The 20,054-nt window shown below is 44.6% G+C and overlaps 1 long non-coding RNA gene across 1 annotated transcript, besides 1 other annotated feature; it reads right to left on the reverse strand.

Annotated features, from left to right (window-relative positions):
- Window positions 1-20,043, reverse strand: LINC00663 (long intergenic non-protein coding RNA 663). Its single transcript, NR_026956.1, has 3 exons — window positions 19,957-20,043; window positions 6,168-6,276; window positions 1-2,176 (listed from the first exon to the last, which is right to left on the reverse strand). It is a non-coding gene; the product is annotated as a long intergenic non-protein coding RNA 663 (long non-coding RNA).
- Window positions 19,901-19,960: an enhancer, noted in NCBI's record as "active region_14370". NCBI's record gives its function as "activates an Ori minimal core promoter by ATAC-STARR-seq in GM12878 lymphoblastoid cells {active_cell/tissue: GM12878}" and the evidence as "EXISTENCE:reporter gene assay evidence [ECO:0000049][PMID:35858748]".

The following is a 20,054-nucleotide window of genomic DNA, read 5'->3' on the forward strand; positions in this document are numbered from 1 at the left end:
TTTATAAAGAAAAGAGGTTTAATTGGCTCATGGTTCTAAAGGCTGTACAGGAAGCATGATGCTGGTATCTATTCGGCTTCTGGAGAGGCCTTAGGAAACTTTCAATGATGGTGGAAGGTGAAAGCGTAGCAGGCACGTCTTTGCTTTTTTTTTTTTTTTTTTTTGAGATGGAGTCTCGCTCTTTCGCCCAGGCGGAAGTGCAGTGGCGCGATCTTGGCTCACCGCAAGCTCCGCCTCCCAGGTTCACGCCATTCTCCTGCCTCAGCCTCCCGAGTAGCTGGGACTACAGGCGCCCGCCACCGTGCCTGGCTAATTTTTTGTATTTTTAGTAGAGACGGGGTTTCACCGTGTTAGCCACGATGGTCTCGATCTCCTGACCTCGTGATCCGCCCACCTCAGCCTCCCAAAGTGCTGGGATTACAGGCGTGAGCCACCGCGCCCGGCCACAGGCATGTCTTACGTGGCTGGAGCAGGAGGAAGTGTGGGGGGAGGTGCCACACACTTTTAAACAACCAGATGTCATGCAAACTCTCTCACAAGAACAGCGCTAAGGGGATAGTGCTAAACCATTAATGAGAAACCGCCCCATGATCCAATCACTTTCCACCAGGTCCTACCTCCAACACTGGGGATTCCAATTCAACATGAGATTTGGGCGGGGACACAGATTCAAACCATATTGTTCCACCTCTGGTCTCTCCCAAATCTCATGTCCTTCTCATATTTCAAAATACTACCGGCTGCGTGCAGTGGTTCACGCCTGTAATCCCAGCACTTTGGGTGGCCGAGGCAGGCAGATCAGAAGGTCAGGAGATCGAGACCATCCTGGCCAACAAGGTGAAACCTCATCTCTACAAAAATACAAAAAATTAGCCAGGCATGGTGATGGAGGCCTGTAGTCCCAGCTACTGGGGAGGCTGAGGCAGGGGAATCATCTGAACCCAGGAGGCAGAGATTGCAGTGAGCTGCGATCGCACCACTGCACTCCAGCCTGGTGACAGAGGGAGACTCTGTCTCAAAAAACAAACAAACAAACAAACAAACAAACAAACAAACAAACTACCATGCCTTCTCAACAGTCCTGCAAATATTTAACTCATTCCAGCATTAACTCAAAAGTCCACAGTCCAAAGTCTTATCTGAGACAAGGCTAGTCCCTTCTGCCTATGACCCTGTAAAATAAGAAACAAGTTTGTTACTTCCAAGATACAATGGGGGTATAGGCATTGGATCAACATTCCCATTCTAAAAGGAAGAAATTGGCCAAAAGAAAGGGGCTACAAGCCTACACAAGTCCAAAACCAAGCAGAGCAGTCATTAAATCTTAAAGCTCCAAAATAACTTCCTTTGACCTCCTATCCCACATCAAGGGCGTGCTGGTACAAGGGGTGGGCTCCCAAAGCCTTGGGCAGCACCACACTTGTGGCTTTCCAGGGTTTAGCACCTGTAGATGCTCTCAAGGGCTGGCCTTGAGTACTTGTAGCTTTTTCAGGCTGAGAGTGCAAGCTGCCAGTGGATCTACCATTATGATGTCAGGAGGACAGTGGTTCTCTTCTCATAGCTCCACTAGGAAGTCCTCCAGTGGGACTCTGTGTGGGGGCTCCAACCCCACATTTCCCCTCCACACTGCCCTGGTAGAGATTCTCCATGAGGGTTCCACTCGTGCAGCAGGCTTCTGCGTGGACATCCAGACTTTTCCATGAATCTTCCTAAATCTAGGTGAAGGTTTCCAAGCTTCAACTCTTGCACTTTGCACTGCAATGGTAGTGCAGGTCCACTGAACCATCAAAGACCAGGTACATGCCTCTGCCTGGTGTTCTCAACTCATCCACCAGTGTGGAGCTGTCATCCCACTTTTCATTACGGTCATCATCGCTGCCCTGGCTGGCCTGGCTGCCACCAGAATTGCTGAGGTGATGACTGCAGGTTCCCCAGTCCCCGGCTCTGGAAAGCCTGCACTGGCAGCTGGAAGGCCCCTGGTGGTGGCACTTGTTGTGGCTGCAGCAGCAGCTAGAGGGCTTTGGGAGGCAGCTTCGAGGAGGTGGGTACCATGGTGAGAAGGGCCTTGAAGCCTCTGGGTGACACATTGCCCTAGCAGGCTGGGGCACCAGGGCTGCTGTCACTCACCAGGCCTGGCCTAGGGGCAATGGAGTGAGGCCTTGTCTCTAAGAAGCATCTGCATGACAGAAAACATTTCTATACTATACGTCTGATAATGCATTAATATCACAAATGTATAAAAACTCAAACAGTCCAACAGCAAGAAAACAAATACTATAAAATATTAGCAAAGGACTTGATATAGACATTTCTCAAAGAAGACATGCATATGAGCAAAAAGTACATGAACAAAAGCCCAAGTTCAATAATCATCAGAGAAATGCAAATTAAAACCAGAATGAGATGTCACCTCACATCTGTTAGAATAGCTATTTCAAAAAGTTTGAAGTGCACTGAGTCTGGATCTTTAGTATCTTTATTTCACTACTTCTTCTAATGTAAGGATTTGGTTTGTTAGTCTTTGATGTGTCTTTTTTTTTGAGATGGAGTCTCACTCTGTTGCCCAGGCTGGAGTGCAGTGGCGCGATCTTGGCTCACTGCAACCTCCAACTCCTGGGTTCAAGCGATTCTCCTGCCTCAACCTCCCGAGTAGCTAGGACTACAGACACGCACCACCACGCCCAGCTAACTTTTGTATTTTTACTAGAGATGGGGTTTCACCATGCTGGCCAGGATGGTCTGAATCTCTTGACCTCATGATCTGCCCACCTTGGCCTCCCAAAGTGTTGGGATTACAGGTGTGAGCCACCACGCCCGGCCTCAATGTGTCTTTTTATGGTTTTCAGTAAAGTTTTATGGTTTCACATAGGCCTGGGAATGTCTTCTAAGTCGATTTCATGGCACGTTTGCTAATGTGGATGGAGGCTGACTCTTTGTTATTGTTACTGTATGTTTATTATTAGTATGAAAGATTCAAGATTTATTATATATACAATGTGCATTTGCTCAATTTCCTGAATGTTGTTAAACAGTTTTTGTTCTGAAAGTTGAAATCGATTACCCTGCTTTTCTATTTGTACTCATGGCCTCTGTGGATAACTACAGTTCAAATTCTTTGACTTACATTCTTTCCTGTTTCCTCCTCTTCTCTCTTCTGGTCCAGACTCAGGCATCCCTCACAGTGATAAATGGGAGAGGCCTTGCCGGCCCTTGTCTTAGACTTTTCTTTATTGAAACACTTCTGATGTTTGCTGTTGATTATGATGTTTGCACAAATATCTTTGCTTAATAAGAATTTTATTTTTGCCTTTTCCCTTCCTTCCCTCCCTTCCTTCCTTCCTTCCTTCCTTCCTTCCTTCCTTCCTTCCTTCCTTCCTTTCAAAGCATGATCTCTGATGTTTCTTAGGCTGGAGTGCAGTAGCTAGTCACAGATGGAATCATAGCTCACTGCAGCCTCAAACTCCTGGGCTCAAGCAATTCTCTCACCTCAGCCTCCTGAGTAGCTGGAACTGCAGTCATGTGCCACCATTCCCAGCCAGAAGTTTCTATTATCCTATTTGGTATTCTTAATCATCACATATTTTATTCAAGGATATACTAAAGTGATTACATATTTTTTCTACTGTAGTCTTTTGATCAAATAAAGAACCTAAATAATTTATTTTTTGAGACAGAGTCTTGCTCTGTCACCCAGGCCGCAGTGCAGTGGTGCCATCACAGCTCACTGCAACCTCTGCCTCCTGGGTTCAAGCAATTATCCTGCCTTAGCCTCCTGAGTAGCTGGGACTACAGGCGTGTGCCACCACACCTTGCTAATTTTTGTCTTTTTAGTAGAGACGGGGTTTCACCATGTTGGTCAGGTTGGTCTCAAACTCCCGACCTCAGGTGATCTGCCCACCTTGGCCTCCCAAAGCATTGGGATTATAGGCGTGAGCCACTGTGCCCAGCCTTGATTTTATTTTTAATAGTAAAATGTACTTGAATAGTTTTTGGCGTAATCTGGTAGTAGAAATACACAAGATATCACCATTAGATACTGCTAATCAAACACTTAAAAGGTGCAAGTATCCAGGTGATTTTGTATACAATCTGGGTCTTTTTGTCAGACTAACGAGTATAATGAGATTTGATATTTGCTTCTGATGTTGCTGGACAAACTGGGTAAAGAAAAGGATTAAGTCAGGGATTCCAAGTTTTTAATACAAGTACTGCATTAATATCCTAAAAATTTATATGTAGCCCTGAAGAAGATACTTAACTCCTGCAGCTTCAGGGCTCAAAATGCTGAAAAGAAATCATAGCATCTCATCCCATAACTGGCTGAATTACAACAAAAATTAAATTCCCAGGCTTGCAGGATGCCTACTTTTAAAGTGGGGGTATTCATTCAGAAAACATTGGATATTAAAAAGTTAAAATGAGGGCCAGGTGCGGTGGCTCACACCTGTAATCCCAGCATTTTGGGAGGCTGAGGTGGGAGGATCACCTGAGGTTGGGAGTTCGAGACCAGCCTGGCCAACATGGAGAAACCCCTTCTCTACTAAAAATACAAAATTAGCTGGGTGTAGTGGTGCATGTCTGTAATCCCAGCTACTCAGGAGGCTGAGGCAGGAGAATCACTTGAAGCCGGGAGGTGGAGGTTTCGGTGAGCCGAGATCGCACCATTGCACTCCAGCCCCTGGGCAACAAGAGTGAAACTCTGTCTCAAAAAAAAAAAAAAAAGAAAAAAGAAAAGAAAGAATGAAATGCTGGATCTTCATTGGTTTGCTATAAAGTGATTCAAAAGCTTTGAAAGATTTGAATGATAAAGTGTATTTTTCCTTTAAAACATACTCAACTGAGGAAGATCCAGGAGATACACCATTCATCATAACTGTGAGACATACATTTGTGAGAGGAGTCCCAGTATCTCCAAAGAGCTTGATCACCACACTTCTCTGTAGGACAGAACTTACAATGAAGATTGTTGCCACCGAAATGAAAAATCTAAATGCATTGGTTATAACCGGATCTCGGGACTGCAGGATTTAAGTGGCAGCACTCAACTGCAGCTGTGAAAAAAATGGTGGGAATGGTTATTTAACAGACTGCAAAGTCAAAGCAAGCAATAAGAATAGTTTGACTCATGGGCTTCCTAGAATTAGAATAGAGGGCGCAGTGGCTCATGCCTGTAATCCCAGCACTTTGGGAGGCCGAGGCGGGAGGATCACCTGAGTTCAGGAGTTTGAGACCAGCCTGACCAACATTGAGAAACCCCATCTCTACTAAAAATACAAAATTAGCTGGGTGTGGTGGCGCATGCCTGTAATCCCAGCTACTCAGGAGGCTGAGGCAGGAGAATCGCTTGAACCCGGAAGGCAGAGGTTGCGGTGAGCTGAGATTGCACTGAGCTGAGATCATACCATTGCACTCCAGCCTGGGCAATAAGAGCGAATCTCTGTCTCAAAAAAAAAAAAAAAAAAAGAATTAGAATAGACAGGAAGACTACTAAGTTTTTACTTGATCTATATAAGTAGAAAAGTTCAAGTCAAACAAAGCCAAACCTGAATTATGAAACAAAAAACAAAACCAAAGATTTATGGCTTCTCAATTTTTTTTTTTTTTGAGATGGAGTGTCACTCTGTCACCCAGGCTGGAGTGCAGTGGCGCAACCTCGGCTCAATGCAACCTCCACCTCCTGGGTTCAAACACTTCTCCTGCCTTGGCCTCCCGAGTAGCTGGGATTACAGGTGCGTGCCACCACGCTGGCTACTTTTTGTATTTTTTTTAGTAGAGATGGGGTTTCACCATGTTGGTCAGTCTGGTCTTGAACTCCTGACCTTGTGATCCACCTGCCTCGGCCTCCCAAAGTGCTGGGATTACAGGTGTGAGCCACCACACCTGGCTTGGCTTCTCAATTAATTTCCAGTCTCGAATTAGTTTATAGACCCAGAACTCCTTGAATCAATGAGATGCTGGGTCCCTATGAGGAAGAAATCCAGTATACTATTACAAATATATACTGTTAATTTGTCCCCCTCTTTTCCCCAAAGAAAACTATGGCCTTTTACCGGAGAACCTTTGCATTGGGAAAAAAGAAATAATCAGACCTTTGAGGAATTACTGAATACAGTTTCTGAACTGATACTAATTCCAGGAGAACTGAAATGACATTGCAGGGCATTTACCAGAGTAGGAGCTTATGGAGGTCAGGCGATCAATGGAGTTTTGAATCAATTCTAATTCCCAGTTGGCCTGGTGGGTTTCTCAAACCACCCTTCGGTTATCTTCCCCGTTCTGGAATACATAATTAGATTAGACATACTCAGCAACTGGTAGAATGCCAAACTGGTTCCCTGACCAGTGGAGCGAGAGCTATTTTGGTAAAAAAAGGTCAAGATGAAGTCATCAGAACTGCGTATTCCTAGGAAAAAGTCAACCAAAAGCAACAGCACATTCGTACAGGGATTTCAGAGACTGAGGCCACCAGGAAGGTCTTAAAAGATCCAAGGGTAGGCTGGGAGAGGTGGCACTTTGGGAGTGCTGAGTTCAGATTTGGGAGCCCGCCGAGGTGGGCGGATCATGAGGTCAGGAGTTGGAGACCAACATGGTGAAACCCCACCTCTACTAAAAATACAAAAAAAGTTAGCCGGGCGTGGTGGCATGCACCTATAATCCCAGCTACTCGGGAGGCTGAGGTAGGTGAATCGCTTGAACCCAGGAGGCAGAGGTTGCAGCGAGCTGAGATCGTGCCACTGCACTCCAGCCTGGGTGACAGAGCTAGACTTGGTCTCAAAAAAAAAAAAAAAAGGAACCATCCAAGGGTCATGGCTCTCATTTCATCCTATGTAAGTCACTGAATAAACATAAGAGATCTTGGAGAATTATACTGGATAAACGTAAGCTTAAATCATATGGAGACTCCCATTGCAGTTGTTGTACCAGATGTTGTTTTATTACTTGAGCAAATATACACATCCCTGGTACCTAGTGTACAGCTATTCATCTGCCTAATACTTTTTTTTCTCTATCATTGTTAATAAATACCACCAGAAGCAGTTCGCTTTCAGGTGGCAAAGACAGAAACACACCGTCACTGTCCTACCTCACACACTAGTAATTGGCTCGGGCTTCTGTAACAGCATGCCGACTGAGTGACTTAATCAATGTATTTTCTTCTCACAGTTGCAGAAGGTAGAAGTTATAATCAAGATCATCAGAACTGGCATCTGGTGAGATCTCTCTCCTTGGGTTGTAAGTGACCACCTTCTCTATGTCCTTCCATGGACTTTCCTCTGTGCTTTTGTGGTAAGGGAGATCTCTAATGTCTCTTTCTCTTCTTATAATGACTTTTTTTTTTATAGAACCCTAGCCTTATAACCTCATTTAACCTTTTTTTGTTTGTTTGTTTGTTTTGTTTTGTTTTGAGACAGAGTCTCGCTCTTGTTGCCCAGGCTGGAGTGCAACGGCACAATCTCGGCTCACTGCAACCTCCACCTCCTGGGTTCAAGTGATTCTCCTGCCTCAGCCTCCCTAGTGGCTGGGATTACAGGCGCCCGCCACCACGCCTGGCTAATTTTTTTTATTTTTCATAGAGATGGGGTTTCACTATATTGGCCAGGCTGGTCTCGAACTCCTGACCTCAGGTGATCCACCCGCCTCAGCCTCCCAAAGTGCTGGGATTACAGGCGTGAGCCACCGCGCCCGGCTCTCATTTAATCTTAATTACCTCCGTAAAGGCCTATCTCCAATTACAGTCACATTGAGGGTTAGAGCTTCAACATATATATTTTAGAGGGACATAGTTCAGTCAATAATAGTGATATATCAACTCTTCAGCCTTATGTTACAGCTTAGTTTGCTGGGATCTTGGTCACCTTTTCCTTCCACAAACTATCACACTGGTTCTTTACATTGATGGTATTATGCTCATTGAATATAGTGAGCAAGAAACTCACTAGACTTATTGGTATGAGAAGCTCACTCTAGACTTACTGGTATGAAATTTATGTCAGGATGTAGGACATTAATCCAACAAAATTTCAGAAGCCTTCTATCTTTGTGAGATTTATAGGGTCCCAATGGTTTGGGACATGCCAACGTATCCCCTGGAAGCAGAGGAGTAAGTTGTTATATTTGGCTTCTACTACAACAAAAAAGAGGCACAACTCTAGTGGGCCTTTTGATTTTGAAGGTAACATATTTCTCATTTGGTAAGTTACTCTGGCCCATTTACCCTGTGACCCAAAAAGCTGCTAGCTTTTCTTTACTCAGCAGAAAAGAATATTCTACATCAGATCCAGGCTGTCGTGTCACTTGGGTCATGTCTTCCAATAGAGTCAAAGGTGCTGAAATTGTTGATGGCAGATACAGATGATCTTTGGAGCTTCTGGAAAGCTCCTGTGTTAATCACAGGAAAGATTTTGGAGGAAAATCATGCCATCCTATGTAGATAATTGCTCTTTTTCTTTTCTTTTCCCTTCTCCCCTCCCCTCCCCTTCCTTCCTTTCTTTTCTTTTTTTCTTTCTTTTTTTTTTTTGAAACAGCTTTTGGCCTGTTCCTGGGGCACAGAAAATACACTGGAAAAATTTATATTGTTAAAATGTCCATGCTGGCCAGGCATGGTGGCTCATGCTTATAACCCCAGCAGTTTGGGAGGCCAAGGCAGGTGGATTGCTTGAGCTCAGGAGTTCAAGACCAGCCTGGGCAACATGGTGAAACCTTGTCTCTACAGAAAATACAAAAATTAGCCCGGCATAGTTTTGCATGCCTGTGATTCCAGCTACTTGGAGGCTGAGGTGAGAGGATTGATTTAGCCCAGGAGGTTGAAGCTGCAGTGAGCCATGATTGTGCCACTGCACTTCAGCCTGGGTGATACAGCAAGACCCTGTCTCAAAATAAAATAATAAAATAAAATAAAATAAAATAAAAGTCCATGCTTCCCAAAGTGATATAGAAAGTAAATGCAAGCCCTATCCAAACCCCAATGGCATTTATTATTAAACTAGACAAAAATAATTACAGATTTACTTGGAACCAAAAGAGACCTTAAACAGTCAAAGCAGTATTGAGCAAGATGAACAAAGCTGACGATATTATACTCTCTGATTTCAAAACATTAGAAAGCAATGCCATCAAAACAAGATAGTACTGGCATAAAAACAGACATAAAGAACAATGGAACAGAATGGAGAGTCCCAGAATAAATCTAATATATGCATACAATCAACTGATCTTCAACAAGGGTGCCAAAAATACACAACAGAGAAATGAGAGTCTTTTAAGTAAATAGTGCTGGAAAAATTGGATCTCTATATGCAAAAGGATAAATGTGGACTCTTACTTCATACCATATTAAAAATTAACTTAAAATGGATTAAATATTTAAACATAAGACCTGAAAACATAAAATGGCTAGAAAAAAAATATGGAAAAATTTTCAGAACTTTGGACATTGAGATGCTTTTTTTTAAATTAGACTTCAAAAGAACAGGCAACAGGCCGGGTGTGGTGGCTCACACCTATAATCCCAGCATTTTGGGAGGCTGAGGCAGGCGGATCACCTGAGGTCAGGAGTTGGAGACCAGTCTGGCCAACATGGCAAAACCCCATCTCTACTAAATCTATTTTAAAGATTATTTGGGTGTGGTGGTGCACTCCTGTAGTTCTGGCTACTCAGGAGGCTGAGGCAGAACTGCTTGAACCTGGGAGGCAGAGGTTGCAGTGAGCCAAAATTGCATCACTGCACTCTAGCCTGGGCAACAGAATGAGACCCTGTCTCAAAAAAACAAAATAGTAAGACAAAGAACAGGCAATAAAATCAGGACAGACAAGTGGGACTACCTCGAATAGAAAAACTTCTGAACAAAGGACAAATTCAACAAATGAAAAGGCAACTTAAGGAATGAGAAAAAAATAGTTGCCAATAATATATCTGATAAAGGGTTAATATCCAAAAATACAAGGAATTTCTACAACTCAATAGCAAACCCCAAATAACAAGATTAATAAATGAGTAATGACCTAAATAAACATTTCTCCAAAGAAGACATAAGAATGGCCACAGGTATATTTTAAAAAATGCTCCGTGTCATTAAATGTCAGTCAAATGCAAATTTAAGTCACAGTGAGGCATCACCTCACTCTTGTGAGGACAGGTATATTAAAAACAAACAAGCGTGCTAAAGTTATGAAGATACTGGAACTTTTGTACACAGCTGGCAGGAATTAAAATTGGCAGCAACAATGGAAAACAACATACAGTTGTCTCAAAAAGTTAAAAACAGAATTATAGGTCGGGTGTGGTGGCTCATGCCTGTAATCCCAGCACTTTGGGAGGCCGAGGTGGGAGGATCACTTGAGGTCAGGAGTTCAAAACCAGCCTGGCCAACATGGTGAAACCCTGTCTCTACTAAAAATACAAAAAAAAAGTAGCTGTGAGTGGTGGTGCGCACCTGTAATCCCAGCTACTCGGGAGGCTGAGACAGGAGAATTGCTTGAACCCGGGAGGCAGAGGTTGCAGTGAGCTGAGATCGCACCACTGCACTAAAGCCTGAGTGACAGAGTGAGACTCCGTCTCGAAAAAAAAAAAAATTACAGTTTGATTCATTAAACTCAATTCTGGGGATACATCCAAAGGGAATATAATTTGGATCTTGAAGAGCTACATAGTTCTGTGTCTATTACAGCATTATTCACAATAGCCAAGATATGGAAGCCACCTAAATGTCCATGAAGGATACATGAATGTGTCAAGTAAAGGTAGTATATACATGCAATAGAATATTAGCCTTAAAAAGGGAGTAAATCTTTTCTTTTCTTTTTTTTTTGAGATGGAGTCTCTGTCACCCAGGCTGGAGTGCAGTGGCGCGATCCTGGCTTACTGCAACCTCTGCCTCCTGGGTTCACACCATTCTCCTGCCTCAGCCTCCCGAGTAGCTGGGACTACAGGCGCCCACCACCATGCCTGGCTAATCTTTTGTATTTTTAGTAGAGACGGGGTTTCACCGTGTTAGCCAGAATGGTCTCGATCTCCCAAACTCAGCTGATCAGCCTGCCTCGGCCTCCCAAAGTGCTGGGATTACAGGCGTGAGCCACCGCGCCCGGCCAGTAAATCTTTTCATTTGTGACAACATGAATGTACCTGAAGGATACTAAGGTACACATTAAGGCACGATTGAAAGAAGCCAGACATAGAAAGACAAATACATCATGATCTCACATACATGTGAAATATGAAGTAATTATACGTGTAGAGGCAGAGAGTAGAATGGTGTTTTCCAGAAGCTGAGCTGAAAGAAAAACGGGGGTTGGGGGGATACAAAGTTTCAGTTACCCAAAATGAACAAACTGGTCTGGATAGTGGTTTTTTTTTTTTTTTTTTTTAGTAAAACCATAAAAGCTCAGGCAACGAAAACAAAAACAAATGGGGTTATATCAACCCAAAATGCTTCTGCATAGCAAAAAAAAAAAAAAAAAAAAAAAAAAAATTAACAAGGTAAAGAGAAAAGCTACAGAATGGCAGAAAGTATTTTCAAAATACCCACCCAATAAGGTATTAATAACCAGAATATACAAAGAACTCAAATGACTTAATAGCAAAAAACAAACAAAAAAAGAATCTAAATTTAAAATGGGAAAGGATCTAACCAGATACTTCTCAGCCAGGTGCAGTGGCTCACGCCTATAATCCCAACACTCTGGGAAGCTGAGGCGGGTGGATCACTGGAGCTCAGGAGGTCAAGACCAGCCTGGGCATCATTTTTTGTAGAGGTGAAATACCACCTCTACAAAAAATTCGCTGGGTATGGTGGTGCACACCTATAGTCCCAGCAACTTGGGAGTCTGGGATGGGAGGATGGCTTGAGCCTGGGGAGGTTGAGGCTGCAGTGAGCTGTGATTATGCCACTGCACTCTAGCGTTGGTGACAGAGAGACACTGTCTCAAAAAAACCCCAAAAAACAAAAAGCAAACCCAACAACAGACTCCTGTCTTCAGCCAAAAAGACCAGGAAAGACACCTTATCAAACAAAACTTTTATCCAATGTGCCTTCTATGCTGGGATAAAATGAGGGTAGATACAATAGGCTTTCTTTCCCTTTTGTGTTTTATAAATTGTATTTGAATATCAAGGAACAATTGAAACATTGTTAACTACGATAATTTCTGAATATAATGTAATACGTTGATCTAACACTAAAAAAGCTATACTCAAAAACACTACAAATAAATGAAATTTTAAAACATGTTCAAATTATCTACATGAAGAAAGTAAAAATCACACAGAGGAACAAAACAGAGAGAACAAACAGAAAACAACGTATCAGGCTAGTTTTAACAAAATTAACTTAACTGTTAAATGTTCTGAATTAACCAAGTAGATCTCCGCTGACACACAACAAAAACATGCTGGCCAAAGTGGATGAGGTGAAGTTCACAATCAACACCCAAATGAAGAAGGTGCTATGTCTGGCTGTGGCTGTCAGCCACGTGAAGATGACAGACGATGTTACACACAGACGATGTGTGTAACATTCACCTGGCTGTAAACTTCCTGATGTCACTGCTCACGGAAAACCGGCAGAATGTCCGGCCCTTATATAACAAGAGCACCACCGGCAAGCCCTAGCACCTGTATTAAGGCACATTTGAATAAATTCTACTGCCACCAGTCAAAAATAAATAAATAAAATAAAATAATCAATTAGAGACAAAGATTGAAAACATTGATTTTTTTTTTTTTTTTGAGACGGAATCTCCTCTGTCGCCCAGGCTGGAGTGCAGTGGCGAGATCTTGGCTTACTGCAAGCTCCGCCTCCCAGGTTCACGCCATTCTCCTGCCTCAGCCTCCCGAGTAGCTGGCACTACAGGTGCCCGCCACCACGCCCGGCTATTTTTTATGTATTTTTAGTAGAGACGGGGTTTCACCGTGTTAGCCAGGATGGTCTCGATCTTCTGACTTCGTGATCCGCACGCCTCAGCCTCCCAAAGTGCTGGGATTACAGGCGTGAGCCACTGTTCCCGGCCTGACAACACTGATTAATAAATATGACCATGCATATTCTCTTTAGAAGAAACTCACTTCCAATATAAAAAGGTAAATTTAGAATAAGCCCTCTCCCTCTCCCCCTCCCCCTCCCTCTCCCCTTTGCACGGTCCTCGTCTCCCCTTTGCACAGTCTCCCTCTGATGCGGAGCCGAGGCTGGACGGTACTGCCGCCATCTCGGCTCACTGCAGCCTCCCTGCCTGATTCTCCTGCCTCAGCCTGCCGAGTGCCTGCGATTGCAGGCGCGCGCCGCCACACCTGATGGTTTTCGTATTTTTTGGTGGAGACGGGGTTTCGCCGTGTTGGCCGGGCTGGTCTCCAGCTCCTGACTGCGAGTGGTCTGCCACCCTCGGCCTCCCGAGGTGCCGGGATTGCAGACGGGGTCTCGCTCACTCAGTGCTCAATGTTGCCCAGGCTGGAGTGCAGTGGCGTGATCTCGGATCGCTACAACCTCCACCTCCCAACTGCCTGCCTTGGCCTCCCAAAGTGCCGAGATTGCAGCCTCTGCCCGGCCGCCACCCCGTCTAGGAAGTGAGGAGCGTCTCTGCCTGGCCGCCCATCGTCTGGGATGTGAGGAGCCCCTCTGCCCGGCCGCCCAGTCTGGGAAGTGAGGAGTGCCTCTTCCCGGCCATCATCCCGTCTAGGAAGTGAGGAGCGTCTCTGTCTGGCCGCCCATCATCTGGGATGTGGGGAGCACCTCTGCCCTGCCGCCCCATCTGAGATGTGAAGAGTGCCTCTGCCCGGCCGCGACCCCGTCTGGGAACTGAGGAGTGTCTCTGCCCCGCCGCCACCCCATCTGGGAGGTGAGGAGCGTCCCTGCCCGGCCGCCCCGTCTGAGAAGTGAGGAGCCCCTCCGCCCGGCAGCCGCCCCATCTGGGAAGTGGGGGGCAGCTCCCGTCCGGCCAGCCGCCCCGTCCGGGAGGTGTACCCAACAGCTCATTGAGAACGGGCCATGATGACAATGGCGGTTTTGTCGAATAGAAAAGGGGGAAATGTGGGGAAAAGAAAGAGAGATCAGATTGTTATTGTGTTTGTGTAGAAAGAAGTAGACATAGGAGACTCCATTTTGTTCTGTACTAGGAAAAATTCTTCTGCCTTGGGATGCTGTTAATCTATAACCTTACCCCCAACCCCGTGCTCTCTGAAACAGGTGCTGTGTCCACTAAGGGTTAAATGGATTAAGGGCGGTGCAAGTTGTGCTTTGTTAAACAGATGCTTGAAGGCAGCATGCTCTAAGAATCATCACCACTCCCTAATCTCAACTACCCAGGGACACAAACACTGTGGAAGGCGGCAGGGCCCTCTGCCTAGGAAAACCAGAGACCTTTGTTCACTTGTTTATCTGCTGACCTTCCCTCCACTATTGTCCTATGACCCTGCCAAATCCCCCTCTCCGAGAAACACTCAAGAATGATCAATAAATACTAAAAAAAAAAAAAAAAAAAAAAAAAAAAAGCAGAATAAAATCAGAAAAAAAAAGGTAAATTTAAAGTATAAGAAGCTGGGCAAGGCGTGGTGGCTCACTCACGCCTGTAATCCCAGCACTTTGGGAGGCTGGGGTGGGCGAATCACTTGAGGTCAGGAGTTCAAGACCAGCCTGGCCAACATAGTGAAACCCTGGCTCTACTAAAAATACAAAAATTAGCCAGGTGTGGTGGCTGGTGCCTATAATCCCAGCTACTTGGGAGGCTGAGGCAGGAGAATCGCTTGAACTGGGGAGGCAGAAGTTGCAGTGAGCCGAGATCACGCCACTGTACTCCAGCCTGGGCAACAGAGTGAGACTCCATATCAAAAATAAATTTAAAATAAATAAATAAAGTATAAGAAGCTGGAAAAAGATACAAGTAATCAAGGAAAGCATGAGTAGTTACAATAATATCGGATAAAGTAGATTTCAGAGAAAAAAATTGAGACATGGAGAGAAATTACATAATGATAAAAAGCTTAATCCACCCAGAAGACCCAGCAGTCCTAAATGTGTAGGCATAAATCAACAGACATGAAAAATGTGAAACAAAAACTGGAACAAACAGAGGAGAAACAGACAATAAGACAAATACACAATTATCGTTGGAGATATTGACATTTTTCTCTAAACAATAGAACAGAGAAAATTTCAGCAGCAAATCTAAAAAAAAGACAACAGTTCAACACCATCATTCATCAACAGGATCTGGTTGACATTTGTAGAGTAATTTAATCAACAGCAGCAGCATATGCATTCTCTTCAAGGGCTCATGGAACATAAAGTAAGATAGACCATCTCCTAGGCCATGAAACAAACTTCAACAAATTTTAAAAATCAGATTACACGGAGTGTGTTCTCGGATCATAATGGAGTCAGACTAGAAATCAATAATGTGAAGACAATGCAAACATCTCCAACTCTTGCAAGCTTGAAGGGGAAGTCCCTGGGAAAACAAAAAATACATTGACCACAAAGATGATGAAAAGACAATGGATCAAAATTTGTAAGACACAACTAAAGCAGTGTACTGAAGAAACTGATGGCACTAAACTCATATATTAGAAAAGGCTGGTCGGGCGCGGTGGTTCAAGCCTGTAATCCCAGCACTTTGGGAGGCCGAGGCCAGGAGATCCAGACTATCCTGGCTAACACGGTGAAACCCGGTCTCTACTAAAAATACAAAAAAAAAAAAAAAAAAAAAAAAAAAATTAGCCGGGCGTGGCAGCAGGTGCCTGTAGTCCCAGGCTGAGGCAGGAGAATGGCATGAACCCAGGAGGCGGAGCTTGCAGTAAGCCGAGATGGCGCCACTGCACCCCAGCCTGGGCGACAGAGCAAGACTGTCTCAAAAAAAAAGAAGAAAAAAAAGAAAAAAACTAAGTCTCCAGATAATCTAATTTTCCACATCGATAACCTGGGAAAAGGTCAAACTTAATAAACTAAACCCAAACAAAAGAAGTATTAAGAAAGAAATAATAAAGATAGGAAGAGAAATAAAGTTGAGACTCAGAAAGTAATAGAGAAAAACCAATAAAACAGACAGCTGATTTTTTTTGAAAAGATCAATTAAATAGACAAACCTCAAGCAAGACTAAGTGGGGGAAAGGACAAGACACAAATTACCCTGTCAGGAATGAAACAAGGGATATCGGCCAGGCGCGGTGGCTCACGCCTGTAATCCTAGTACTTTGGGAGGCTGAGTCAGGTGGATCACAAGGTCAGGAGTTCGAGACCAGCCTGGCCAATATGGTGAAACCCTGTCTCTACTAAAAATACAAAAAATAAAAATTAGCTGGGCGTGGTGGTGGGTGCCTGTAGTCCCAGCTACTCGGGAGGCTGACGCAGGAGAATTGCTTGAACCCAGGAGGTGGAGATTACAGTGAGCCAAGGTCGGGCCACTGCACTCCAGTCTGGCTACAAAGCGAGACTCCATCTCAAAAAAAAAAAAAAAAAAAAAGAAACAAAGGATATCATTACATACCCTGCAGACATAAAAAGAATAATAAAGTGTATTAGTCGTCTAGGGCTGCCATAAGAAAATACCAGAGTCTGGGTGAGTTAAAATAAATCATCTCACAGTTCTGGAGGCTGGAAGTCTAAGATCAAGGTCCCAGGACAGCTGGTTTCTCCTGAGCCCTCTGCGTATGGCGCCACCTTCCTCTGTATCCTCACATGGCCCTTTTCTTTTTTTCTTTTCTTTTCTTTTTTTTTTGAGATGGAGTCTCACTCTGTCACCGAGGCTGGAGTGCAGTGGCACGATCTCGGCTCACTGCGACCTCCGCCCCCCAAGTTCAAGCGATTCTCCTGCCTCAGCCTCCTGAGTAATTGGGATTACAGGCGCCTGCCACCGCGCCCGGCTAATTTTTTTGTATTTTTAGTAGAGACGGGGTTTCACCATCTTGGCCAGGCTGGTCTTAAACTCCTGACCTCGTGATCCACCCGCCTCAGCCTCCCAAAGTGCTGGGATTACAGCCGTGAGCCACCGCACCCGGCAGGGCTTTTTCTTCTAATTGGCCCGTTCTAGTGTTTCTCTGTCCCTTCTCCTTTATTTTATTTATTTATTCATTTATTTATTTATTGAGACAGAGTCTCGCTCTATCTCCCAGGCTGGAGTGCAGTGGCACAATCTCGGCTCACTGCAACCTCCGCCTCCTGGGTTCAAGTGATTCTCTTGCCTTAGTGACCTGAATACAGGTGTGGGATTACAGGTGTGCGCCACCATGCCCAGCTAATGTTTTATTTTTAGTAGAGCCAGGGTTTTGCCATGTTGGCCAGGCTGGTCTCAAACTCCTGGCCTCAAGTGATCCGCCTGCCTTGGCCTCCCAAAGTGCTGCAATTACAGGCGTGAGCCACAGTGCCTGGCCTCTATCTCTTCTTATCATGATGATAGTCATACTGGATTATGGCCTCACTCTGATGACCTCATTTAACCTCAATTACCTCTTAAAAATCTCCCTCTCCATACCCAGTCCCAATGAGGGTTGGGACTTCAATATGAATAACTCTATACACATAAAATTTAACAGCTTAGATGAAATGATTTAATCACTCAAAACATAAATTATTATAATTACCCAATTAAAAAACTGATATTTTTGAATTGCCCTACACTAGGAAGAAACTGAAATCATAATTTTATTTTTTATTTATTTATTTATTTATTTTTTTTGAGATGAAGTCTCGCTCTTGTACCCCAGGCTGGAGTGCAATGGTGTGATCTCGGCTCACTGCAACCTTTGGAATAATGTTCATGAGCCCAAAGACAAGACAACCTTTGGAATAATGTCCATGAGCCCAAAGACAAAATTCCCAGCTTAATAAATGGCCCAACAGCATCAGAATTAGAAGATTTAGAAGTAACTAGAATTCTTCCTAGCTCCACTGGAAAGGATGAACATGGGGGCTCCCGCAAGATAAGTACAGGGCCAGTGGACAGTGACTGGTCTAGTGAGAATAGAATCCCAAAGATCCTGGGAAATAAAATTACACAACAAGCTTCCAGGAAACAAGTGGAACAAACGAGGCAACCTCGCAGATACTACCAGGAATGGATAAGCAGAAGAGGGTCAGAGCCACAAAATCTAAACAAAAGACACCAAACCACAAGAAGCACCCAGCCCTGTGAACACCAGCTGTGGCTACATCTGTACCAATCTTTTCAGACAGCTGCCGTGGGACTGCTGAGAGCAGCCACACACCAAACAGCAGTGCATCTGAACACAAGTCCCAAGACACTCCTCTCTATTAATCCTCATTTTGAGAAGATGGATATGGTTATGTTACAACATCCCCATACAACACTTGTGGGCGAGGGTAATCAGACACCCTCACCTAAAGAGGGCACAGGAAGGAGGAGGATGAAAACAGAGGGCTAGGGAAGGGATGTGTGCTCTGGATCACATAGACTTTCCCCACAGGCACTATTTAAAACAAAAGAAGAGCCCTAGAAATGTGCTGTGGTCTCCCTATACTTCCTCATCTTGCCACATGCATAGGTGCCACGTGGTTTTGTTTTGTTTTGTTTTTTGAGATGGAGTTTCGCCCTTTCGCCCAGGCTGGAATGAAGTGGCTTGACCTAGACTCACTGCAACCTCCGCCCCCCGGGTTCAAGCGATTCTCCTGTCTCAGCCTCCCGAGTAGTTGGGATTATAGCGCCTACCACCACGACCGGCAAATTTTTGTATTTTTAGTAGAGATGGGGTTTCGCCATGTTGACTAGGCTGGTCTTGAACTCCTGACCTCAGGTAATCTACCTGCCTCGGCCTCCCAAAGTGCTGGGATTACAGGCTTGAGCCACTGCGCCTGGCAGATGCCACAATTTTTTTTTCTTTCTTTACACAGGTGCTGATGAACTCAGGTGTAATTAACCCTAAGGGGTAAATTATTCACTAAGTGCAGTAATAGGGTCCAATTTTTATGACCAGGTTTTCAGTTCTTTGATATTGTCCTACATTCAGAAATCACAAATGAAAAATACTGGAATGTGTGACGTGAACAATGTCTTGGAGGTTAACATCCAGGTTTTTACATATTAGATGTAACAACATGAAAGCTGGTACCATCTGGGAACCAAAGGAACTGTCCCTGAGAACACAGAATTTTAGGGACATCAATTATTAAGAGTTTACATGGAAGCAGAAGTGCTCCTAGATGTTTCCATTATCTAGATAGAAAAATTCAACAGATGAGCCCCAGTGAGTCAAGGAACATCTCTGACAGCTGTGGGTGATGGGCTTTCTATCCAAAGCAGAGATGTGAAACCTGACGGGTTTCAATTGACCCCGAAGTGCTCCATATCTCAAAAGTCAATCCCACAAAGCTGGAACGCTATCTGTTCCTGAGGGATCAGGTCCCACCTGTGTCTCTAAGACACTGCCTTGAGATGAGGCCGATGATTTCAAACGTAAATTGCCTAAATTATCATCAGCTTCATGTTGTGTTTTGGAGCTTGTCCACTTAAGTGGGTTGATAAAAAATGGCTCACAAGACACATGCCTGGGAAATGGGGTTTTCTTCTTTGCTCTTGGCAGATCCTGGGCAACCCTATAATTAACCTTCTTGATTTCTCAATTTTCACATTCGCGAAAAAGGTGCCAGTGCGCGTGACATTTCCCTGAAGCCACAGCCCTTGTCACCCCCTGCAAAGCTCTGAAGTTGTGCACAGGTAGGCCAGGTGGCAGATTTCTCTCAAAAGCGGCTGAGCTCGCGCTCTGGCTAGGGAAGGCAGAGGCCTGCGGCACAAAGTACATTGTCTTAGACATCAGGACAGTGTCTATAGCAGTTTAGGAAAGAAGGCGGCTCCCTGGGCTGGAGACGACGCAATGCTCTGGGAAGACCCCTGGGTGCGGGTGAGAGAGGAATCCGAGCTGCACAAGGCCAATGAGGGGAGGACGACCCGCCCGATTTAGATAAAGGTAAGGCATACTTCCTAGCTTAATACCCTCCTCAATGCCCAGCCCAGACCTGCCTTTCACGTCCCTAGCTGTATTCACTCTCCCTGGCGACCGGGCGGCGTAGAATCGGCGGCCAGCAGTGCTTTAGACACAGGTTAAGTGTCTGCCCCTC

Source organism: Homo sapiens, chromosome 19 (assembly GCF_000001405.40).
Source record: "Homo sapiens chromosome 19, GRCh38.p14 Primary Assembly".
Taxonomy (NCBI): Eukaryota; Metazoa; Chordata; class Mammalia; order Primates; family Hominidae; genus Homo; species Homo sapiens.